We start from the raw sequence: 25,229 nt of genomic DNA on the forward strand, positions 1-25,229 counted from the left end.
AAGTGCTAGGAATCATACTACCTGCTTTTAAGATTTATTATGCAGCTACAGTAATCAAGACTGTGTGGTACTAACAGAGAAACAGACACATAGGTTAGTGAACTAACATTAAAAACCTAGAAATAGACCATACAAATATGCTCAATTGATTTTTTTCTAGCTTGAAGATTTTTTATTATAATAAATACAGATAATATAAAGCTGACCATTTTAGCCATTGTATTTCTTTTTATTTTATTATATATACATATTTTTTCCTTTTTTTACACATAGGAATATTTTAACCATTTTACTTATTTTTATTTTTATTATTATTATTATTTTTCGAGACAGAGTCTCACTCTTGTTGCCCAGGCTAGAGTGCAGTGGCGCGATGTTGGCTCACTGCAACCTCCACCTCCCGGGTTCAAGCAATTCGCCTGCCTCAGCCTCCTGAGTAGCTGGGATTACAGGCGCCCAACACCATGCCTGGCTAATTTTTGTAGTTTTAGTAGAGACGGGGTTTCTCCATGTTGGCTAGGCTGGTCTCAACCTCCTGACCTCAGGTAATCCGCCCGCCTTTGCCTCCCAAAGTGCTGGGATTATAGGCATGAGCCACTGTGCCTGGTCTATCTTTTATTTTTATTTTTTTTGAGATGGAGTCTTGCTCTGTTGCCCAGGCTGAAGTGCAGCGGCATGATCTCGGCTCACTGCAACCTCCGCCTCCCGGGTTCAAGCAATTCTCCTGCCTCAGCCTTCTGAGTAGCTGGGACTGCAGGTGTGTGCCACCATATCCGGCTAATTTTTGTATTTTTAGTAGAAATGGGGTTACACCATGTTGTCCAGGCGGGTCTCAAACTCCTGACCTCAGGTGATCTGCCCACCTCAGCCTCCCAAAGTGCTGGGATTACAGGCATCAGCCACCACGCCTGGTCTGATTTTTTTTTTTTTTTTTTGAGATGGAGTTTTGCTCTTGTTGCCCAGGTTGGAGTGCAATGGCACGATCTCGGGTAACTACAACCTCCACCTCCTGGGTTCAAGTGATTCTCGTGCCTCAGCCTCCCTAGTAGCTGGGATTACAAGCATGAGCCACCATGCCCAGCTAATTATGTATTTTTAGTAGAGACAGGGTTTCTCCATGTTGGTCAGGCTGGTCTTGAACTCCCTACCTCAGGTGATCCGCCCACCTCAGCCTCCCAAAGTGCTGGGATTACAGGTGTGAGCCACCGGGTATCCATAACAAAAAGAGAGAGAGAGAGAGAGAAACTTGATCTATAATTAAAATTCAAAAGTTAAAAAGAAAAACAACGAACTCATGTTGTCAGCCAGCCCATATCTATCTCACATAGTTGGAACAAGGACTGGACATGTGCAATAAACACTATCATTTATAGGGTGGAAGAAGAGGAAGAACACTACACTCACTGGGCCACAGCATACCAAGATCCTGGCAGGGAGATATTTTGAGCTCCCTTGATCTAAGGGTAGTTTTTACCCCTGAAGAGGCCGGTTTCTGCTCTCTGACCATAGCTATCCATGCCAGATCCTCAGTTTTTCCTTATCTTGTCTGACTTCATTTGTAGGGCCATTAGGGGTTATGGCTTTCTGGGGGTCTTACCATCTATTACACCCTACGTGGGATTCTGGTGGTCCAAGTTCATTATTTTTATGCAAACAAAGACTCTTTTCCTCAGTTCAAGCTTTTATAGTTCTTTTTTTGTGTGTGAGTTTTCTAGTGTACACACACACTCACACACAGACCATTTAAAAATCTATTTGATTGCATTTAGCTCCAAGCGTAATTAAACCTCTCCTCAACTCATTCTGGCTATTCTTTCTTTTTTTTTTTTTTTTTTTTTTTTTTTTTTTTGAAAAGGGGTCTTGCTCTGTTGCCCAGGCTGGAATGCAGTGGCGCTATCTCGGCTCACTGCAAGCTCCGCCTCCTGGGTTCATGCCATTCTCCTGCCTCAGCCTCCCAATGGGACTACAGGCGCCCGCCACCACGCCCGGCTAATTTTTTGTATTTTTAGTAGAGACGGGGTTTCACCGTGTTAGCCAGGATAGTCTCAATCTCCTGACCTCGTGATCCGCCCGCCTCGGCCTCCCAAAGTGCTGGGATTACAGGCATGAGCCACCGTGCCCGGCCCATTCTCGCTATTCTTTCTTTTTCTCATCTTAATTAAAATATCTTGAGTTTACTAGTTGGCTGGGACACAACACTCGCCACCTCGCCACACTTGTTTTTTGTTTTTTTTTTTCTGGAGCAGTTTAGCCAACTGAAAACAATTTCAATCCAATCACTGATGTAAACCGAAGGTATGAGAGCCATAACCCAGGTTCGATTTTTGCTTTTTTACAAATATGCTTTTCAGGGGTAGAAATTCCATGCTATTAGGCTGTTCTTAAACTTTTCCATTAGAAAAATGCCATAGGAATGCAGAAAAGGGTGTGGTAATTCCGCCTGGGGAATTCAGGAAGAGCGAGAGAGAAGCTACAGCCAGGCCCCTCAACACAGCCAGGGCCTTTCTCATGGCTGCCTGGCCAACTCGCCTTCCACTCTCCGGAGAAGCTGCTTTAACCTTCTCCTCTTTCCCCCAACTCCTACTCCTCCAACTCCCCGCTCACTCAGTCTTGCCTCCTTCCTCAGAGAAAGTTAAAACTATCAGATGGGACACCCTCAAGCTCAGGTCATCCTCCTCATGTAGATTTTTAACCCCTTACAGCTCTGCATAGCCATAAGCTGACCCCATCTCCCACCCTTCCTCAGCCTTCCTAGTGTGTCTTCTGGAATTTGCAGTGCACCCCTACACAAACCCACTGTGCCCTCCGCCTTCACTCTGAATATTCCCTTCACCTTCTTGCCTTGCAGGAAAACTGGCTGATGCCTGCAGGCAACCCTTCCCCTATGGCCTCCTCAAATGAGGGCTATTTTCCCTCTCATGATCCTCATTCCAGTTGGCCTGAGATAGGGGTAGCTGTCCTCCCTTCCGGTCCTCCATAAACCCCCAGCCTTTTTGAAACAATTGACATTAGGCCACACCCTGCCTCTTTGTCACAGTCCTCTTCAGGTCTCTTCCTCATTCACTAAGTATTCTGGTCACGGCTAACTGTGTCTCTCTGCCACTGCCCCATCATCATTCTTCATACCTTCCTAGCACCCTGGGATCTGTGCAAACGATCCATCCAACACCTCAACTCCCAGCATGACAATCTCCCCCAATGTCCCAGCCTCCCTTGCAGCTAGGAGTAGCCATGTGACCCATTTCAGTCAAATGGGATGGAAGTCAAAATCTGAAAGGAGGGCTGGTTTCTATGAAAGCATTGCCTTCCAGGGTGTATGCAGCTTCCCTGGGTTAATGAGCCTGTGTAAACGGGAGAACAGCACAGTCATTGGCCCTGACACAACTGAACCAATGACCCTACACCAGCAGCCACCTATCTTCAATCTACTTCAGCCACTCTGGTCCAATTTCCTGCCTTCACAGCTGAAAGAATTCCTAATAATTTCTCATCAATACTGCCTGTCCCTGGGTCCCATCCTCAAGCCACTCACCCTCCTCTTTTCACCCCTGTTCCTGCCCAAATCCTAGTGTGTCTAAGGCTGCTAGTTATTCCTCAATATCCATTCTCCCCTTCTCTCTTTTGTAACAGAACCCTAAAATTGTCACAGAGCCGACCCCGGACCCAGCTACTGCACTGCCACAGTCCTCTTTCTCCCCAACGCTGTTTTTCTATCAGCAGCTTTTCATTTAATCTCTGTCATTTCCAACCAAGTACAAACACACTGCAACATCTCCTGCAATATTCTGATGTTAACAAAACATCAAACACCCTTTCCTAAACTCCTCATGTCCCCTAGCTACCACCTCATTTCTCAGCTCTCCTTTTTATATTAAAAAAAAAAAAAAAGCTCTGCTCAAGAGAGTGGCCTGTCCTCATTGCCTTCCTCTCCTCATACCCCCTCTGCCAGTGCCCTGATCCCTGGATGCCCGCCATTCCAGCAGAACTCCTCTTGTCAAAGCAATCTAGTGCCCGTCACCTTGCCCAACCCAACAGTCCATTCTCAGCCTTCATTTTATCCCACCTCACAGCAGCCTGTGGCAGAGGGAATCATGCCCTGTGTTCCTCCGCTGCTGCCTCCTTTAATCACGGAGAATTTTAACATGTACAGAAGGAGAGAGCATGAGGTTGGGCGTGGTGGCTCACACCTGTAATCCCAGCACTTTGGGAAGCTGAGGCCGGTGGATCACCTGAGGTCAGGAGTTCGAGACCAGCCTAGCCAACATGGCGAAACCCTGTCTCCACTAAAAATACAAAAGTTAGCTGGGCCTGGTGGCAGCGCCTGTAATCTCAGCTACCTACTCAGGAGTCTAAGGCAGGAAAATTGCTCCAACCCAGGAGGTGGAGGTTGCAGTGAGCCGAGATCTCGCCACGGCACTTCAGCCTGGGTGACAAGAGCAAAACTCTGTCTCAAAAAAAAAAAAAAAAAAAGGCAGGCACGGTGGCTCACGCCTGTAATCCCAGCACCTTGGGAGGCAGAGACGGGCGGATCATGAAGTCAGGAGATCAAGACGATCCTTGCTAACATGGTAAAACCTCTTCTCTACTAAAAATACAAAAAAATTCGCCAGGCATGGTGGCGCGCACCTGTAATCCCAGCTACTCGGGAGGCTGAGGCAGGAGAATCACTTGAATCCAGGAGGCAGAGGTTGCGGTGAGCCGAGATCGCACCACTGCACTCCAGCCTGGTGCCTGAGGGAGACTCTGTCTCAAAAAAAAAAAAAAAAAAAAAAAAAAAAGGAAGGAGAGGGCATGAAACAATGAGACTCACATACACACCACTCAGCCTAACCACCTCCAACCCACGGCCAGGGAAGTCCTGCCCAGACTCACCTCTGCATCTTCCCCTCCCTATTATTTGGAAGCAAATCCTACACATTATATCATTTTGTTGGTAAAATATTTCGGCATCTCTAAAAGATAACTTTTAAAAATGTAAACAACTCTCTCATTCTTTTTTTCCCAGCTTCATTTTTAATTTTTTCTATCTATTACTTATTTATAGTTTCAACTTTTATTTTAGATTCACAGGGTACATGTGCAGGTTTGTTACCTGGCTATATTGTGTGATGCTGACGTTTGGGGTACAATTGATCCCATCACCCAGATAGTGAGCACAGTACCCAACAGTTTTTCAACCCTTGCTCCCCTCATTCCTTCCCTGCTTTAGTAGTTCCCACTGTCTGGTATTGTCATCTTTATGTCCATAAGTATCCAGTGTTTAGCTTCACTTATAAGCGAGAGCCTGCGGTATTTGAGTTTCTGTTCCTGCATTAATCGACTTAAGATAATGGCCTCCAGCTGCATCCATGTTGCTATAAAGGACGTGATTTCATGCTTTTTATGGCTGCATAGTATTCCACTCCCTCATTCTTGAAACCCATTTTTCACTGGATTTACATTCACCAAATTCTCCTGATTTTACTGTTTTAGTCCTTTTGGGTTGCTTTAACAAGATACCATAAACTGAGTGGCTTATCAACAACAACATTTTTTTTTTCTCACAATCCAGAAACTGGAAGTCCAGGATCAAGGCACCAGCAGACTTGTTGTCTGGAGAGGGCCCACTTTCCAGTTTATAGACAGAGGTTTCTAGCTGTGTCCTTACATAGTGGGTGGAGCAAACGAGCTCCCTTAGGTCTATTTTTTTTTTTTTTGAGGCAGGGTCTTGCTCTGTTGCCCAGGCTGGAATGAGGTGGTGCAATCATGACTCACTGCCGTGACTTCCCGTGCTCAAGTGATCCATTTACCTCAGCCTCCAAAGTAGCTGGGACCACAGGCATGTGCCACCACTTCCAGCTAGTTTTTTTTTTTTTTTAATTTTTGCATAAATAGGGTCTTGCTCTGTTGTCTAGGCTGGCCTCCAAGTCCTAGGCTCAAGCAATCCTCCCACCTTGGCCTCCCAAAGTGCTAGGATTACAGGTGTGAGCCACCACACCTAGGGCCTATTGTAAGGGTACTAGTCCCATTCATGAGGGCTCTGCCCTTCAGACCCTATCACCTCCCACCTCCTAATACCATTACCTTGGTGATTAGGTTTCAACATATGAATTCTAGGGGACTACAAACATTCAGACCATAGCATCCTCCTATCCAAGTGGCCACTCCTCTTTCCAACCTCTCATCCAGGCTTGGGACTTTCAATGACAGCTAAGTACTCATCCCTTTCAAATTACCTCTGTGCCTCAATTTCTCCCCAGAGCTCCAGGTTCATTATCTTTTTTTTTTTTTTTTAGATGGACTCTTGCTCTGTCACCCAGGCTGGTGTGCAGTGGTGCAGTCTTGGCTCACTGCAACCTCCGCTGCCCAGGTTCAAGCGATTCTCATGCCTCAGCCACCCAAGCAGCTGGGATTACAGGCATGAGCCACCATGCCTGGCTAATTTTTATATTTTTAGTAAAGACAGGGTTTCACCATGTTGGCCAGGCTGGTCTCAAACTCCTGGCCTCAAGTGATCCACTGGCCTCAGCCTCCCAAAGTGTTGGGATTACAGACATGAGCCACTGTGCCTGGCCCAGTTCATATATCTAACTGCATACACACCTGGCATCTCCGCTTGGAGGTCCATTAGGTATCTTCAAGCTAACATGGGTTAACTAGAACCTTTGATATTCTGCACCCTCCTTCCCATCACTTCCTCACTGAGTCTTCTCCACCCTTCATTCCATTTTCAGCCCTAAGCCTAGAAGTCATTATTCTGTTCCACAATCTGTTTGCAAGTTATGTCACCTCCACATTCAAAATATTATATATCCAGAATTCAACAACGGTTCACCATATCCATCACTTGTACCAAGGCCACCATCATAAGCAGACCAGCGGTTTCCACATTTATTTGGTATTTTCCCTGATGAAGACAGAATTATACTTTATGTAATTTGAAATATATAGAAATAGAAGCTGACCCTGCACCCCTAATATATGTATATTTACTAACTGGCAAATTATATGCAGATACCTACTAATATGTATTATAAAACATAAAATAGAAATTTATAAAGGATGACATAAAGAGAAAATAGGCAGTTTTTAAATGTCTTACTAATTGTGATAGCTTCATATGATCATTTTACCTAACATCTCAAGGCACAATATACACTTAGGTAAGGTTTGTGATTAACTATAATAAAAACACGCATTTCAAGTAGGCTTTTTATTTATTCCACATTTCACTTGGACACAAGTGTAAGATTTGATCAAATTGTCTTTTTTAATCTCAAAGTGTGGCTAAAAAAGATCTCATACTAGGAAAACAAGAATGTCAGATCCACCATTTTCATGTGATTTGCTTGTGATTGTATTGTTAATATTAATAATACAACTTCCAACATACGACTTCTTAGCAGGAATCTTGTAAAGCCACTTTTTCTTTTTCTTTTTTTTTTTCTTCTTCTTCTTTTTTTTTTTTTTTTGAGATGGAGTTTCGCTCTTGTTGCCCAGGCTGGAGTGTAATGGTGCGATCTTGGCTCACCACAACCTCCGCCTCGCAAGTTCAAGCAATTCTCCTGCCTCAGTCTCCTGAGTAGCTGGGATTACAGGCATGCGCCACCACGCCCAGCTAATTTTGTATTTTTAGTAGAGATGGAGTTTCTCCATGTTGGTCAGGCTGGTCTCGAACTCCCAACCTCAGGTGATCCGCCTGCCTCAGCCTCCCAAAGTGCTGGAATTACAGGCGTGAGCCACCGCACCCGGCCACACTTGTTCATTTTTTGAGACTCGTTTTAGTTAAAACTCAATTGGATAATCCTTCAATCCATTTAATCAGATTAATGAAAAATGCAGTAGTCACAAAACACTGGTACCCAATGAATGAGTGCATTGTCAGATAAAAAATAAGAGAAACGGAAGTTCAATATTTTCTTCCTGCACCCAGTGGGTTGATTGCCTTGGGCACTTCTTTGTGTGTTAGCTCTTCCCTTTGGAAAACAGTCCCCAACATGGTCTGCAGCATGTCCTCACAGGTCTCACTGCTTCATTCTTGCCCCTACATATTCAATTTTCCACCTAGTAGCCAGAGCGCTCTTCTCCAAACACAAATCATATCAAGTCCCTCCCGTCCTCAAAACCTTCCCCTGGCTTCCTAACATTCTCAGTAGAATATCCAAGCTACCTCTGTGGTCTCCAGAGCCTCTCACTGGCCCCACTGCCTCCCTGGCCTTTCTCTCATCCCACCACCTGCTCACCACCACCCAGCCCCACTGCCCCACTGCCCTCCTTCCATTCCTCAAACTCTCTATGTTCCTTCCTGTCTGGGTGTTTCAAAGATGCCCCAATCACTTTTCCTCCCTGCTCTTTCCTGTCCCTATCTCACCCGCCATTGTTAAACTCCTGCTTACCCCTAAAATCTCAGTTTAAATCTCACTGCGTTAGGTTGTTGCTTATCCCTTAACACCTCAAGGCACAATATACATTTCAGTAAGGTTTGTGATGCAATATGTCACAAAATGCAATATGTGAATACATTAAAGTTTAAACAAAAATCTTAACCAGCTCACCCATTGTAGTCCCTTATCCTATGCTTCACTTTCCCCTTAAAATTCTTTTCAGACCGGGTGGTGGCTCATGCCTGTAATCCCAGCACTTTGGGAGGCTGAGGTGGGTGGATCACCTGAGGCCAGGAGTTCCAGACCAGCCTGGCCAACATGGCGAAACCCCATCTCTACCAAAAGTACAAAAAATTAGTGGGGTATGGTGGTGGGCACCTGTATTCCCAGCTACTCGGGAGACTGAGGCAAGAGAATTGCTTGAACCCGGGAGGTGGAGGCTGCAGTGAGCCAAGATCACGCTGTTGCACTCCAGCCTGGGCAACAAGAGCAAAACTCCGTCTCAAAAAACAAAACAAAACAAAACAAAAAAACCTCTTTTCGGAAAAAAAATTTTTTTCATATTATGTTCATCTGTATTATTATCTGTCTAATGTCTGATCCCCTACCTATTAGACTGGAAATTCCATTAGGGCAGGAATGGTGCCTGGTATATAGTAAGTGTTGTTGGATGAGTGAAATGAATGACTGGCATAAGGATGAAAGGTGTTATGAGCTGAGCTGTGTCCTCCCAAAAAGATATGTTGAGGTCCTGGCTGGGTGCAGTGGCTCACTTCTGTAATCCTAGCACTTTGGGAGGCCGAGGCAGGTGGATCACGAGGTCAGGAGATCGAGACCATCCTGGCTAACATGGTGAAACCCTGTCTCTACTAAAAATACAAAAAAAAAAAAATAGTCGGGTGTGGTGGCTGGCGCCTGTAGTCCCAGCTACTTGGGAGGCTGAGGCAGGAGAATGGCGGGAACCCAGGAGGTGGAGCTTGCAGTGAGCCAAGATCGCGCCACCGCACTCCAGCCTGGACGACAGAGCGAGACTCCATCTCAAAAAAAAAAAAAAAAAAGATATGTTAAGGTCCTCCTATCCCCCAGCATCCCCCAGAATGTGATCTTATTTGAAAATAGGGTCTTGTAGAAGTAAGCAAGTTAAAATAAAGTCATTAGGGTGGGCCCTAATCCAACATGACTGGTGTCCTTATAAAAGGGAAGTTTGGACACAGAGACAGCCATGCACAGAGGGAAGATGACGGGAAGACACACAGGAAGAACACCAAGAATTGCCAGCAAACATCAGAAACTAGAAGAGTCAAAGGATGATTCTCCCCTAGAGCCATGGGGGCTGGAGGGGAGCAAGTGCATGCCAACACTTTGATTTTGGACATCAAGCCTTCAGAACTGTGAGGCAATTTTTGGGTTTGATCCTTTGTTATGGCAGGCAGCCCTAGAAAACTCAACCAAAAGAGAAAATTGTTGTACATGAGGCAGTAATTGCTGAGGACTTTGATTGGAGAAGCCAAGGCACATAAAGGAAGTTGTAGCCAAAGCATATAAAGGAAGTTGTTCTGTTTCCAGGTGGAAACAGAATTACTTAGCAAGCAGAATTCAATGGTGTGGAGTATTGGATCAATCTCCCTAAACACATATTCAGGTAACCGACCTTCATTTTTTGTCCCCTTCTTCTTTCCAAATACCATATTCCACTGATCCTAGAGGCACATCTCACATCTCTGAAATCAGCCTGTTCACTGGTGTCCAGCAAGAGGAAGTGTAAAAAAGTTTCAAAAAAAATCACATGGAGAGACCATCACAGACAACTTCCGGTACACAATATTATATTAACAGTTTAAAAATATGCATATAAATGCATTTCTATCTATATATAACTTCTATCTATGATTATCTATCTATATATAATTCCTTTTTTTTTTGTTTTGTTTTTTTTTTTTTAGTAGAGACAGGGTTTCACTGTGTTAGCCAGGATGGTCTCGATCTCCTGACCTGGTGATTCGCCCGCCTCGGCCTCCCAAAGTGCTGGGATTACAGGCGTGAGCCACCGTGCCCGGCCTATCTATATATAATTCTATGTATTCTATCTATATAGCGATATATAATTTCTATCTGTAATGCAAATCTACATGTGATTTCTATCTATATATACATGTAGATAGAAAATTTAGGGAATTCACTGCAGGTGCTGCTTGCAGTCCACTTTTAAAACCTAACATTACATAATAAAACACTATTTTAAGAAGCTGCACTAGGCCGGGCTTGGTGGCTCACGCCTGTAATCCCAGCACTTTGGGAGGCCAAGTCGGGTGGATCACAAGGTCAGGAGTTTGAGACCAGCCTGGCCAACATGGTGAAACTCCGTCTTTACTAAAAATACAAAAATTAGTCTGGGGTGGTGGCGTGCGCCTGTAGTCCTATTCAGGAGGCTGAGGCAGGAGGATCGCTTGAACCCGGGAGGTGGAGGTTGCAGTGAGCCAAGATCGTGTCAATGCACTCCAGCCTAGGAGACAGAGCGAGACTCCGTTTCAAAAAAAAAAAAAAAAAAAAAAAAAAAAAAAAAGGAGCTGCACGATGCTCCCCTTGGGCGTGTACCATACCTTATTTAACCATTCCCAAACTGTTTCCATTTTTTCTGATGTTAAATAAACTCTAAGATGTACAGACGTCTTTTATCTGGCTCTCCGATTACCTTCTGCAGATAAACTCCTAGAAGTTACTGGGGCAAAGGGAGTGAACCTTTAATTTTTAATAAAATTTTTTAAATTACAGAAAAAGCCGTAGTCGTCAGATTCTACTTCCTAGGCGGTCCACAGGGATTTCAACAAGTTCGATTCAAACCATCCCAAATTCCCTCCCGGCACTAAGTTTTCCTCGGTCTTGGGAAACGTGGCCCCGCAGTCCGCACTCACGACTGCGCACAAACGCTGGCCTCTTTCCAATGGCGAAACTTCTCGACACGCCCCCGAGGCACCACCTCTTTAAAATTTAAAACGAAGGCCCAGGCCAATGAATGCTAAGCTTCTCTCGGACCACAGAGACCCGCCCACCGTCACTCCCTCCACCAATCAGACTGAAGTTTTCTCCACTGCCCCTCCAATCACCGCCAAAAATGGAAGTTGCTCTCGTAACTTACGTAAGGCAAGCAGCCAATAGGAGCAAACCTTGGAAACTAGCTCCCCCAATAGCAGCAGTTCCTGGAGAGCGCGGGAGCCTTTCGACCAGGGTCCCAAAGGAAAGCAGTGAGTGGTGCTGTTTCCCTGAAGGAAGGGACTAAGGGACGGTGGCGCGGGCCCGGACCGGGGCCCCGGGGCGGCGGCACGGCCGATATGGCATGCTGTCACAAAGTAATGCTGCTGCTGGACACCGCGGGCGGCGCCGCCCGCCACAGCCGGGTCCGGCGGGCCGCCCTGCGCCTCCTCACCTATCTGAGTTGCCGATTCGGCCTGGCCAGGGTCCACTGGGCCTTCAAGTTCTTTGACTCGCAGGGGGCGCGGAGCCGGCCGTCCCGCGTGTCTGACTTCCGCGAGCTGGGGTCCCGCTCGTGGGAGGACTTTGAGGAGGAGCTGGAGGCCAGGCTCGAGGATCGCGCCCACCTGCCCGGCCCGGCGCCCAGGGCCACCCACACGCACGGCGCCCTGATGGAGACGCTGCTAGACTACCAGTGGGACCGGCCCGAGATCACGTCGCCCACGAAGCCGATCCTGCGGAGCAGCGGGAGGAGACTGCTGGACGTGGAGAGCGAGGCCAAGGAGGCCGAGGCCGCGCTCGGGGGCTTGGTGAACGCCGTCTTCCTCCTGGCCCCCTGTCCGCACTCGCAGAGGGAGCTGCTGCAGTTCGTGTCTGGGTGCGAGGCCCAGGCCCAGCGCCTGCCGCCCACCCCTAAGCAGGTGATGGAGAAGTTGTTGCCCAAGAGAGTCCGGGAAGTCATGGTCGCCCGAAAAATCACCTTCTACTGGGTGGATACCACCGAATGGTCTAAGGTAAGGAAGGTTACTGTCGTCTCAGATGGCGTGCACGGTGCTTTCCTTGCTAACCAGAACTTGGCAGCGTCCTTAGAACAGCCACAGACCCCGAATGAGACTAATATGACTATGCGTCCCTTCGGAAGGAAACAAATAAATAGGAACAGTTTTCACAACAAAATGGGTAGTTCCTCACTACCTACTGTTTAAGACCCCTCACAATTTGGGCCCTACCTGCCTTCCCAGACTTGATTTTCCTACACACTACATCTACTCTAGCATATTGAAGTCCAGTCCAGAAAATCAACAGGTCTGGACTGCTTGTTTTGTGTTATGTGTGTTGTTCAATCTGCCTGGAATGCCAGTTCTCACTCTTCCAGGCCAGTCTTAACTTCACTTACCCTTTAAGGCTTCTTCTCCCAGTGACAACTGCTCAGTCCAGCGTCTGAATTGCCATACACATTTTGTGTGGCACTTAACCATTTCTCCATATGTTTTGATTATGCACATCTCTCACCCTCCATCTAGTCTAAAAATACCTCAGAGGCAAGCAGCAGGTTTTAACACAATACCCAGGGGTGTGTGTGTATGTGTGTGTGTATATATATATATATATATATATATATATATATATATATACACACACACACATATATATACACATTTATTTATATACATATATATATTTATTTATTATTATTTTTTGAGACAGTGTATGTCGCCCAGGCTGGAATGCAGTGGCTCACTGCAACCTCCACCCCTCCGGGTTCAAGCGATTCTCATGCCTCAGCCTCCCAAGTAGCTGAGACTACAGGCCCACGCCACCATGCCTGGCTAATTTTTTTGTATTTTCAGTGGAGACCAGGTTCCATGCTGCCCAGGCTGGTCTCAAACTCTGGCCTCAGGCAATCCGCCTGCCTTGGCCTCCCGAAGTGCCAGGATTATAGGTGTGAGCCACCACGCCCAGCCACCCAGATGTGTATTAAACGTTGTAGGTGTTCAGTCAGTATTGGCTGACTAAATGAGTACATTCTTGCGTACATTCTTGCAAACTTAAAGTCTTAAATGGCTAATTTGGATTTTTGCTGAGGCGGTGAGGCCCCCTGCTCCTGTTAAGTGCTAGGATAAGTATATACTTTTGCCTTCATCCTTCTCATTGCACTTCATTTAGTCAACAAATGTTCATTGAGAAGCCAGTAACATCTGAGTGCCTACCACACTGTTTGAGCTGCTGGGGACATGGTAACCAAAGCAGGGAACAGATTAAACAGATAAGCAAGTGACAATTTCAAATCATGCTCTGGAGAAAATAAAATGGGGTGAGAGGATGGGAGTAGAAGGTGGTTATTGTATACAGAGTGGTAGTGAGGGAAGGCCTTTTTTTTTTTTTTTTTTTTTTTTTTTGAGACAGAGTCTCGCTTTGTCACCCAGGCTGGAGTGCAGTGGCGTGATCTCGGCTCACTGCAACCTTCACCTCCTGGGTTCAAGCAATTCTCCTGCCTCAGCCTCCCAAGTAGCTGGGATTATAAGCGGGCGCCACCAGGCCTGGCTAATTTTTTTGTATTTTTAGTAGAGACGGAGTTTCACCATGCTACCCACCCTGGTCTCAAACTCCTGAGCTCAGGCAGTCCGCCAACCTCAGCCTCCCAAAGTGCTAGGATTACAGGCATGAGCCACCGTGCCTGGCAGGGAAGGCCTTTTTGAGCAGAGAATTGAATGGTGAAGGAGGAGGAACTCAAAGGTAGGTAAAGAACATTCCAGGTGAGGAGACAAGCAGGTGTAAGGATTTCAGCTGGAAATGAACTTAGTTTGTTTCAGAAACAAAAAGGCAAGGAGTGCTGAGACCTAGTAGGCAAGGGGAGCAGTGTGAGAGAAAGTCAGAAAGCAGGAGAGGCCGATCTGTAGGGCCAAGGTCAAAAATGTGGATTTTGTTCTAATTAATTAATGGGAAGGCTTTGGAATGTGGTTTAACCAAGTGAAAGATGTGATTCCACTTAATGGAAATACATGTCACTAACCCAGGAGTGAGTTAAATTGCAAGATTACAGATGGAAAATGAGCAAGCATTTAAATAATAATATGGTATGTTAAAATTTTCAAAGTGCTTTCACATGCGAAGCCCAAAAAAGGCGTGGCAAATGCAAAATAAGGCAGCAGTGGTTTGTCAAGAAAAGGAAGGGACAAAAAGTGTTTAAGGGGATGGTAAACATTTGATGGGGAAAATGAAATCCTAGATATATTAAAATTTAAGGCAGCCAGTCAAGCCTTAGACACAGTATACAACACATTGCTCAGCTGGAAACAATTGATATCACATCAAAGACTTTCTTCTGGAATTTTATTATGTTAAATACTGGCTAGAAATAAGTTAGATGGGGCTTGATGGATCTTGGAGATTCTTTGTCTCTCTTTTTTTCTCTTTAATCTCTCTCTCTCTTTTTTTTTTTGAATAGCATTGAAATAAGTGGGTTGACTGGATCTTTTTAAAGATCCCTTCCAGGTCTGATGTACCGTCGACTGAGGGGATGGGTCATCTCTGAGGCTTCCCTTCTTACATCGGCTGTATCCCCTAAGAAAATGCCCATCAGATACTCAAGTTTTTCTGGAATTTTCTTCTGCTGAAGATCTATCATTTTCTATTCAAAAACCTGCCCAGCCATGCTGGGCAAAAGGAAGGTTTGGGCTGTGTCCTTGGGGAGTGCTCTGTCCAGGAGCAGGGAGAAGGGAGGAAGAGAAAATCCAGGTCCTGCCTTGGGGAGCGTGCAGTCTGGGAAGTAGAACTGGGAGAAACAGAACCTGCACTTACATTGGAGGCAGAGGGATCCAAGCGCATAAAACAGGATATCATATTTGCAAAGATATAGGACAGAATGGAGGATAAGAGACCTCTGACACATTTTCAACTTTATGCCTTAGATTTATTCAATACATATTTGTTCCATACCTGCCAGGTATGCTAAGGAATCAAATAGATGTGGTCCCTGCCCTCTTGGAGCTTATAGTCTAGTGGACATTTACAGATCCCCAAATTTGAAACTACCACTAGGACATGTCTGTCACTTATCCTATAATACGCATACGAGTGAAAAATGTGACCATACTCTATAGTATACTGTTTGTATTTTTGTTTTTGTTTTGTTTGAGACAGAGTCTTGCTCTGTCGCCCAGGCTGGAGTGCAGTGGCGCAATCTCGGCTCACTGCAACCTCCGCCTCCTGGGTTCAAGTGATTCTCCTGCCTCAGCCTCCCGAGTAGCTGGGATTACAGGCGCTTGCCACCACGCCTGGCTAATTTTTGTATTTTTAGTAGAGACAGGGTTTCACCATGTTTGCTAGGCTCGTCTCGAACTCCTGGCCTCAAGTGATCCACCCACCTCGGCCTCCCAAAGTGCTGGGATTACAGGCTGTTATTTTTTTTTAATCACATGTTTTGCTATGGTTTGAATATTTGTCCCCTCCAAAACTCATGGAGTAATGGGTGTCATGGGAGTGGGATTGGTGGCTTTATAAAAAGAGGAAGAAAGTGTTGAGCTCACTTGCTGAGCCTCATCGCCCTGCTTTGCCCTGTGCTGCCTTGGGACTCTGCAGAGTCCCCACCAGCAAGAAGGCCTTTGCAAAGTACAACCCCCTGGCCTTGGACTTCTCAGCCTCCATAACTGTAAGAAATACATTCCTTTTCTTTATAAATTACCCAGTTTCAGCTATTCTGTTGTAAGCAACATTAAGCAGACTACGCCATGCACACATTACCTTTAATAGAAACTTAAGGTCCTTTTCAACACTTATTAAAGTTACATCTTCCCACCCACCTCCCGAGACAGAGTTTCACTCTTTTCACCTACGCTGGAGTGCAGTGGTACAATCTGGGCTCAATGCAACCTCCACCTCCCAGGTTCAAGTGATTCTCCTGCATCAGCCTCCCTGGTAGCTGGGATTACAGGCACCCACCACCACACCCAGCTAATTTTTGTATTTTTAGTAGAGATGGGTTTTCACCATGTTGGCCAGGCTGGTCTTGAACTCCTGACCTCAGGTGATCCACCTGCCTTGTGGATCAAAGTGAGGGGTGTTGGGATTACAGGCGTCAGCCACCACAACCGGCCATAAAGTTACATCTTAACCTTTCATTTTATTAACAGGGTTTTTTTGTTTGTTTTCCTGGCTGGTCTTCTGGCTGAAACAATTTCAACAAAATTTTTGTGTCCATTTGGCAGAAAATCCTAATCAGGATCTATGGCGTCTGAACTAGGTTACCATTCTCTCCATAGCAGTGAACACAGATATAGATACATGGGTGGTAACATCACATACTAATTAATTGGTTAATCTAATACAGCATTTTCCAGATTGATATTCATGACTGAAAAGTTTAGATAGATTAGAAGATAATGTGCTCCAATACATTGTTTATCTTCATTACATGGGATCTTTTTTTTGTTTGTTTTTAATGCTGATCATAAACCACTCAATCCATCAGAGAATCTATCAAAGTCCGTCAGATGGTCATGATCCGAATTTTAAAAGCAGTCTAGGCCAGGCCTAGTGGCTTATACCTGTAACCCCAGCTTTGGAAGGCTGAGACAGGAGGATCTCTTGCACCCAGGAGTTTGAGACCAACCTGGGCAACATGGTGAGACCCCATCTCTACAAAAAATACAAAAGTTAGCCAGGTGTGGTGGCACATGCCTGTACTCCCAGCTACTTACTCAGGAGGCTGGGGCGAGAGGATTGCTTGAGTCCAGAAAGTTAAGGCTGCAGTGAGCCATGTTCATACCACTGCACTCCAGCCTGGGCAACAGAGCAAGATCCTGTCTCAAAAAATAAAAATAAATGAAAGCAGTCTATTCAGAACAGTCCTGGGTTCTTGGACTTGTCTATCATTGCCTTGCTGGGACCATGGACGATTCCCTGCTTGTCTTTGAACTTGACTACAATGGGAAGTTTGGGAATGACCTAGTTGACTTTCGAGACCCTTCTAGTTCTGATTCCTAACATTCACATAGCAATTATAATTTATAATTGTTACCCGGCATGATGAGCATATTCTAAGGGGTGTGCTCCTTCATATTCCCATAGTAGCTGAATATTGTTGTTATACTGTGATGCCACGTTAAACATTTTATGTTGGTACTGTTTTATTCACACCCCCCGCCCCACTTCGAGATCCTAGACATGGCACATAGAAGTTACTCAATAAAAGTTTGTTGACAGAAGGTTGACTGAAGAGTCAGCTGTGTGTGAAGGAGTGAAGCAGGGCTTTTACAAAGAAAGCAGGATTTGAGCCAGATACAGAAGCGTAATAACCATTCAGTTGGTGAAGAAAGAAGGGGAGGCCCAGGAAATAGAAATCAGCAAAAACAGGGAAGCCTTAAAATATGGCATGTTCAGGAAATAGCAAATGGTTCAATATGCCTAGAAGGAGTGGGGGTGGATGAGGGGTAGAAGATAATGTGTTCCAAAAGGTGGTTTAGGGTTGGCTTGTGAAGGGCTTTGTGATTATGCTGAAGAGTTACTTTATTCTGGAGGCAGTGGGAAGCCTTTCAGAATTTCAGAGAAGTAGCGTGACCAGAGAAGTGATTTGGAAGAATACTTAGAGCACCATGGAGGAACGATTAGAGGCAGAGCACAGACTTTACAGGCTATGGTAACAGTTAGGGCAAAAGATGCCACGAGGCCTCGGTTTGTCTCGTCTCTGCACAGGCCTGTGGGTGGGCAAGTCAGAGTGATGGTCACCGTCTGGGGGAGGTGCTCCTGCCTCACTCCCATGACACCTGGCCATTATTGTGTTGTGCTGTATAGGACATAATTATTTTTATTAATAGGCCAGGCACAGTGGCTGTTGCCTGTAGTCCTAGAACTTTGGGAGGCTGAGGCAGGCAGATCACTTGAGGTCAGGAGTTTGAGACCAGCCTGGCCAACATGGTGAAACCTCGTCTCTACTAAAAATACAACAATTAGGCGGGCATGGTGGCGCATTTCTGTAATCCCAGCTACTTGTGAGGCTGAGGCAAGAGAATCGCTTGAACCTGAGAGGTGGAGGTTCCTGTGAGCCGAGATCATGCCACTGCCCTCCAGCCTGGGTGACAGATCAAGACTCTGACTCAAAAAAAAAAAAAAAAAGGTTATTTTTATTAATGTATAATGGTTCTATGTTCCTTCTAACATTTTATGATCTATACCCAGTGATTTGTGTCACTTCTTTCTGTTCCTTGACAAAAAATATAAATGAGGTACTATTTTTACTAAATGAATGCTTTCTCAAAGGGATATAAGGTAGTAATTTGTTCTGGGGCTGCACAGTAGCTTGATGCTGACCATTATTTCTATTTAGCTCAGCAAATACATTGGTTGTGTAATTCGATCCTTTAATATTGGTATCAACTTTACTTTCTCCTGATTTCCTTTACTTTTATTTGTGAATGCCTAATTTATAGTAACCTAAGGTTGTTTGTCGTTTTATTTTAGTTGTGGGAATCCCCAGACCACCTTGGATACTGGACTGTTTGTGAACTGCTCCACCACGGAGGTGGCACTGTCTTGCCATCTGAATCTTTCAGCTGGGATTTTGCTCAAGCTGGGGAAATGCTGCTCAGGAGTGGAATAAAGCTGTCAAGTGAACCTCATCTTTCTCCGTGGATTTCAATGCTGCCAACTGATGCCACTTTAAACCGTTTGCTCTACAATTCTCCTGAGTATGAGGCCTCGTTTCCACGAATGGAAGGAATGTTATTTCTCCCTGTTGAAGGTAAGCAAATAATATTTTAAGGTTTTTTTTTTTTTAAATCTCAGTTACATTAATTTCTTCAAAGAAGCTTTTAACTTCTTTGGCATTTCTCACAGCCCAGGCACTCAACGAATGCTTGTCATGAAAGAATTAAAAGACATCAAGGCAAAATCAGAGATACTGTAGGAAAGAGTTGAACTCTTAATTCAGTACAACTGCCAGCCTTTGTACAAAAAAACAAGTGAATGATTGATTTTAAAGTTTACCAGCTGTTCCCAAAGAAGGGTAATATTATTCAGGTGCCCAAGCACATGGGTATACGATTTCATTGCCTCATAGAGTAGATTGATAAATTGAAGACCATAGAGAAACAATGGTCGACTAAAAGAAGAAATAAATTAGTCTACAGAAACCCAGAATGATGCTTGTTACCAGGAAAAGCAAACATGTTGGAATCTTCATTACATTAGTTTCACCATATGATTTGCTATATGGTAAATCTCATTTCTGAATATATTGTATATTCACAGAAATAATACTTTATAGAGATATGTACATAAAACTGTTGTACATTATGTGCAGTTTAAGGAATTTTCAAGAGTAGTTTTGTTTATATAATTTCATTACACAGTCTTTAGAATTTAACCTCCTCATAAGATATGATGCACTGTACTTTATGGATTTAAGAAGTGGTGTCTTCTTTCTTATAAGTAGTAAACATTGCTTGAATACTTACTTCTTTTTTTTTTGAGACAAGGTCTTGCTTTGTCACCCAGGCTGGAGTGCAGTGGTACGATCATAGCTCAGATCGCAGCTCACTGAGCCTCGACTTCCTGGGCTCAAGGGATCCTCCCACCTCAGTCTCCCAAGTAGCTGGGACTAAAGGCATGAGCCACCACACCTGGCTCATTTTTGTATTTTTTGTAGAGATGGGGTTTTGCCTTGATGCCCAGGCTGGTCTTCAACTCATGGACCTCAAGTGATCCTCTGGCCTTGGCCTCCCAAAGTGCTGAGATTGCAGGCATGAGCCACCGTGCCTGGCCTTCAATACTTATACTTATTTCTAAGTCATAATTTCTGAGAAGTTCTGCCATCACATATTGCCTTTGTAACTCCATTTGTTTATAGCTTTTTCTATAGAGCTAAATGAACTTGCTATGATGACTTGGCAGTAGAATAAGTGTTGAAGTGTTCAACTAAGTGACAGTATCTCAATTGACAACTTGATTATTTTCTTATTGTTATTAAATCTCTTTTTAGTATCTATTCCTTATATTGGAATTTTAATCTTTTTTTAAAATTTTAATTTGGCATCCTGGTCTAATTAATCTTTATTTCTAGCAGGCAAAGAGATTCAAGAAACATGGACAGTCACCCTAGAGCCCTTGGCCATGCATCAGAGACATTTTCAGAAACCAGTCAGAATTTTTCTAAAAGGCTCAGTGGCCCAGTGGTCTCTCCCAACGAGCAGCACTTTGGGCACTGACAGCTGGATGCTAGGAAGTCCAGAGGAGAGCACAGCAACTCAAAGGCTGTTATTTCAGCAGTTGGTAAGCAGGCTGACTGCTGAAGAGTTACACCTGGTAGGTATCCTCCACACGGGAAGTTATTCTTGTCTAACAACACACTGGTAAAGTGAAATAAGTGTGTTTATAAATGCCCTACACAATATAGTCTTAGTAAAACTGATTATGCTTTTGCAAATAATATTGTTGACATTATAGTATCATGACAGCAATGCTTATTAGAGAAGAAATCACTTATAAAATTGCATGTACCAAGAATCCAATTAAGTTAAATTATATTCACATAGGGAAGAAGGCAGTTGGCCAGATGAAGTGCTTATGTTAGGGTAGTAATGTGATGAGTGATTTCTCATTGTTTTTTAAATATTCTGTTACATATTTACTACTTTTATATAAGTATTTAAGAAAAAGCTGCTACACAGTAAAATTAGATGTAATAGTATAATAGTTGTGTAACTATATACAATGTAATATAATTGTCTGTGTAACTCAGCAGTTGGACAGTAGTTACACAAATGTAGAAATGTCTTCTGAAAAGGAACATATACATACCCAGATTTGATTTAACGGTGAGAATTATTTTTAAACTACCAGCAAATTCCTTACCTTACTTTGTCTTTTGCCTTCATACTCTCAGGAGGGGTCTCTATTCTGGTTCCCATTGTAAAATATTCTAGAGAAAAATACGGTAGTCATTGGACAGATGCTGTTCTGAGAGTTGTGTGCTCTGAGGAAAAGGGCACTGGGTTTGGGAGTCAGTGATCTGGATTAGGTCTCAGCTCTGCTGCCTACTGTATGTTCTGGATAAATCACTCAAGTGGTATTTCTGCCTCATGGTTAAGTACATGGGTTTCAAAGTCACATATGCTTGGCATCTTCTCTTACTAAGTAGGTGGCTTTAACAGGTTACTTCTGCCTCAGCCTCAATCCCTCCTTTATAAAATGGGGATAATAATTATTTTTACCTCAGGGCGATTGTGAGGATTCAGTAAGCACATAGTAAATACCTAGTAAATATTCCTGGTAATGTCAGGTTTTACTTATTTGTAAGTAGAAATATGAGGACTCTGTGATTAATAAATTCCCTTCTACCTCTATTAATGATCAAATCTATCTTTTTCATAGTTTTCACGTTAATAATAATTGGGAAAATGGTTATTCTGTCTTTTAGTACACTACATTCTTCTTTAGGCATATTGACAATAATATTCTCAACTAATTAGGGCTTCTCACGTAGGTTGCTGATGTGGACCCTGGTGAAGGCCGGCCCCCCATCACTGGAGTTATTTCCCCACTCTCTGCCAGTGCTATGATCCTCACTGTGTGCCGCACCAAGGAGGCTGAATTTCAACGACATGTTCTCCAAACAGCTGTGGCTGACAGCCCCCGGGACACAGCTTCCCTTTTCTCAGATGTTGTGGATAGTATATTGAATCAGACTCATGATTCGCTTGCAGATACTGCTTCTGCTGGTAAGCTCCTAAACTAGTAACTAACAGAGTCTAGGGTGGTTTGCAGTCTTTTCAAGCATCGGGACTTTTTCACTGTGCAGTTAGTAGAACCCCAATATGTTATAACACAGATGAAAGAAAGCTATAATACTTCAGGCAGTTTAAATCATTATTATTTATAGAATTCCTTAAGTACTTCTGAGGAGGCTGCAGGTTCCATGAAACCAGTCTGAAATCGAAGTCATGGTTTTTAATATATTTAAGAAATACTGCATATAAAACTGTAGTGATTCTGTCTACCCTGCATTGCATTGTTACTACTAGCATTGCAACTAAATGCATTGTTACTACTAAATCTACCTAGCATAAATAAGGTTTGTATCATGTTAGTATTACAAACCTTATGTAAGCTAGGTAGATTTAAATATACGTATACATATATATATATATAAAATCAACTTGATATTTCTTTAATTCATTCATTCATTCAACAGATTTGAGTACCTGCTGTATGGCAGGCACTGTTTGAAGTACTGGGACTATATTAGAGAACAAAATGGACAAAGATGTCTTCCCATGGAGCTGACCATCTAGTCCAGGGAGACAAAACAATAAGTCAGGAAAATTACGGTTTAGTCTAAAGAGACAAAAATTGTAGTAGTAAAGCAGAAACAAAGGAATGGGGTGTGTTAGGGTAGGGAGGGTTGCAATTTTAAGTAGGGTGGTCAGGGAAGGCCTTGCTGAAAAAATGATATTTGAGCAAAGGCATGAAGGAAGTGATGGCAGGGAGTTGCTGGTAGAGGCGACAGCGAGTGCCAAGGCTCAGAAGGGTGTTAGAGGAATGGCAGGGAAGCCTGTGGCTGCAGTGAAAGGAGCAAGGAGAGAGTAGGAGGGGGTGAGGTCAGAGAGCCAGCAGCAGACCAAACTGGGCAGGGCTTTACAGGCACTGAAAAGACTTTGGCTTTTACTGTGAGTGAGAGAGGAAGCCTTTGGGTGATTTTCTGCAGTGACACCATCTGACTTATGTTTTAACAGCATTACTCTGGCTTCCATATTGAGATTTGACTATAGAAAGGCAAGGATAGAACCAGTCAGACATATTACAATAATCCAGGCAAGAGATGGTGGGAAATGTAGGGAGTTGGAAGTAGTTGGAGCTCTTGGATATATTTTGAAGGTAAAGCCAACAAAATTTGCTGTTAGATTAAATGTGTAGAGTGAGCTGTAGGGAAATTGAAAGTGACTCCAGAGACTTTTGCCCTAAGCTACTGGTAGAAAGCAGTTTCTTTCTGAGATAGGGAAGGCTGTGGGAGAACCAGGGGCTGGGGTGGTGAGGACTGGAGGGTTTGTTTTGGGCATGGTAAGTCTGAGTTGTTCATTAGACATCCACACATGGTATTGAGTAGGCATCAACTATGCATGTTTGAGTTTGGGAGATTTGTCTGGACTAGAGATGATGGGAGTCATCAGTGATGTTTTAAAGCCATGAGATGGGTTAAGATCACCATGGGGGTGGGCGTAGATGGGAAAGAGAAGGGGACTAAGGACTAACCCCTGCACCCTAATGTTAAGCAGTCTGGGGAATGAGGAGAGAGAAACCAGCAAAGGAGACAAAAGGGGGACAGTCGCTGAGTTAAAGAAAACCCAGATTGTGGTACCCTGGAAGCCAAGTGAAGACAGGAAATGCTTGGCTGGGTTATTTACTACTGACAGGCCAAGGAAGATGAAGGCTGGGAGCTGACATTCAACTGAGCAATGTGGATGCTCGGGATACCATCACAACGTGATGGTTGTGATACTAGTTTTGGTGGAATTGTGAGGGTAGAAGTGTGAGTGGGAATACGTTCAGGAGGGACTGTGAAAAGAGGAAAACAGCAAGTGTGGACAATTTTTTGGAGTAGTTTTGATCTAAAAGATATTAGAGTAATGAAAACAGTGGCTAGAGAGGGAAGAAGAGTCAAGGTTTTTGGTTTTGATTTTTAGAAATAATAATAGCCTGCTTGCATGTTGATGAGATAATATGGTAAAAATTAATGCAGGGGATGGAGAGAATTGCTAGTTAGAGGGCTTTGAGGAAGTGCAAGTGGAGGGGTTGGTCTTGGGAACAAGCACAGTTCATCTGTGACAACTGGGGGAAGGCAAAAATGTAAGGGCTGGGATGCCAAGGTGAGTGATGTTGGTGTGAGTGTACGGGGTTCTCTTCCGATTGCTTCAGTTTTTTTAGTGAGTTAGGAAGTGACATCATCAGCTGAAAATGAAGACTTAAGGAGATGCTGGAGGCTGAGGAGAGAGGGGAGGAGGAAGTGGCTCTTGAGAGGGTGAAGATAGCAGGAAGGTGGAGGAAGTTTGCCGGGATAGTCGTGAAGGTAAAGTGAGATCCCTCTGTGGGCTTGCCTGCCTCCAGCCACATTCACCAGCTGGCACAGCTGCAGAGTAGGCAGGGAGCTGGATTAACCAGGGTTGGGATTTTCCCAAATGAGGGTGGTAAAGCTAGAGAGGGGTCAGGGATTCAAAAGTGTGAACAGGAAGAGATTACAGGATTTGTCCATGGAACGAGGCAGGGTAAGGAGGGAAGTGAGGACAACGGAAGGACAGGCGATCAGATCAATGGGTTATAGGGGTCTCAGGATTTCTGGAGCCAATCTGCTCAAAGGAGAGAGCTAAAAAATAGGTGGAGGTGGTCAGAATGGGGTGCTTGAGATCATAGAGGGTGGTGACCAGGGGGAGAGAGTGACTGAAGGAGGGCAACACGCTGGGGCACCAGAGGTGAGGAATTCAAGGGGACAAAGGCCAGAGTGTTGGTAGCATCAAATGTGTGTATGGAAGTTATCCAGAGTTAAGACTGAGTAGTACTGGAGAGACTGACGGTGGTGAGTCGGGAGCTAACAGTCTTTGAGGAGTAAGGGGGAATGATCCAGGCTTGTTAGATGACTATGAGCGTGTAGCCTTTGATGTGAGACTCAAAGCTGGATTTTTGTCGTTATTTTCAGCAGGTAGAGGGAAAATGATCTGGAAGAGGCAAGGAGGATACCAGCCCACCTCAGGGCCAAGTGGAAAAAGAGCATGGCGGGGGAACAGCAAGCTCTCTCCAGCGCTGCAGGGGAAGCAGTGTGTTCAGGGCAGGAGGAGATGGAATTGAGGACATAGGGGATTTTGCTGATGAGGGTCAGTGAGTTCCAGAGGGCAGGGTGGGAGGATTTTA

The 25,229-nt window shown here is 44.4% G+C and overlaps 1 protein-coding gene across 2 annotated transcripts in view, besides 2 other annotated features; it reads left to right on the plus strand.

The window, feature by feature from the left end:
• Positions 11,563-11,852: a silencer, noted in NCBI's record as "silent region_6800". NCBI's record gives its function as "represses an Ori minimal core promoter by ATAC-STARR-seq in GM12878 lymphoblastoid cells {active_cell/tissue: GM12878}" and the evidence as "EXISTENCE:reporter gene assay evidence [ECO:0000049][PMID:35858748]".
• Positions 11,575-25,229, plus strand: part of TICRR (TOPBP1 interacting checkpoint and replication regulator) — a 52,555-nt gene continuing 38,900 nt past the window's right edge. The window contains exons 1-4 of one of the 2 annotated variants that reach the window (NM_152259.4): positions 11,575-12,346; positions 18,792-19,071; positions 20,392-20,633; positions 21,814-22,048. In NM_152259.4, the coding sequence (NP_689472.3) occupies positions 11,693-12,346; positions 18,792-19,071; positions 20,392-20,633; positions 21,814-22,048 (1,411 nt within the window). In that variant the 5' untranslated portion in view covers positions 11,575-11,692. The remainder of the gene's footprint in view (positions 12,347-18,791; positions 19,072-20,391; positions 20,634-21,813; positions 22,049-25,229) is intronic. The other variant, NM_001308025.1, reaches the window with a different exon arrangement.
• Positions 11,974-12,502: an enhancer, noted in NCBI's record as "H3K27ac hESC enhancer chr15:90119099-90119627 (GRCh37/hg19 assembly coordinates)". NCBI's record gives its function as "activates a minimal SCP1, AML or CMV promoter by ChIP-STARR-seq in naive H9 embryonic stem cells {active_cell/tissue: H9 hESC(naive)}" and the evidence as "EXISTENCE:reporter gene assay evidence [ECO:0000049][PMID:30033119]".

The sequence above is a fragment of the Homo sapiens genome, chromosome 15 (assembly GCF_000001405.40).
Source record: "Homo sapiens chromosome 15, GRCh38.p14 Primary Assembly".
In the NCBI taxonomy this organism is placed as follows: domain Eukaryota; kingdom Metazoa; phylum Chordata; class Mammalia; order Primates; family Hominidae; genus Homo; species Homo sapiens.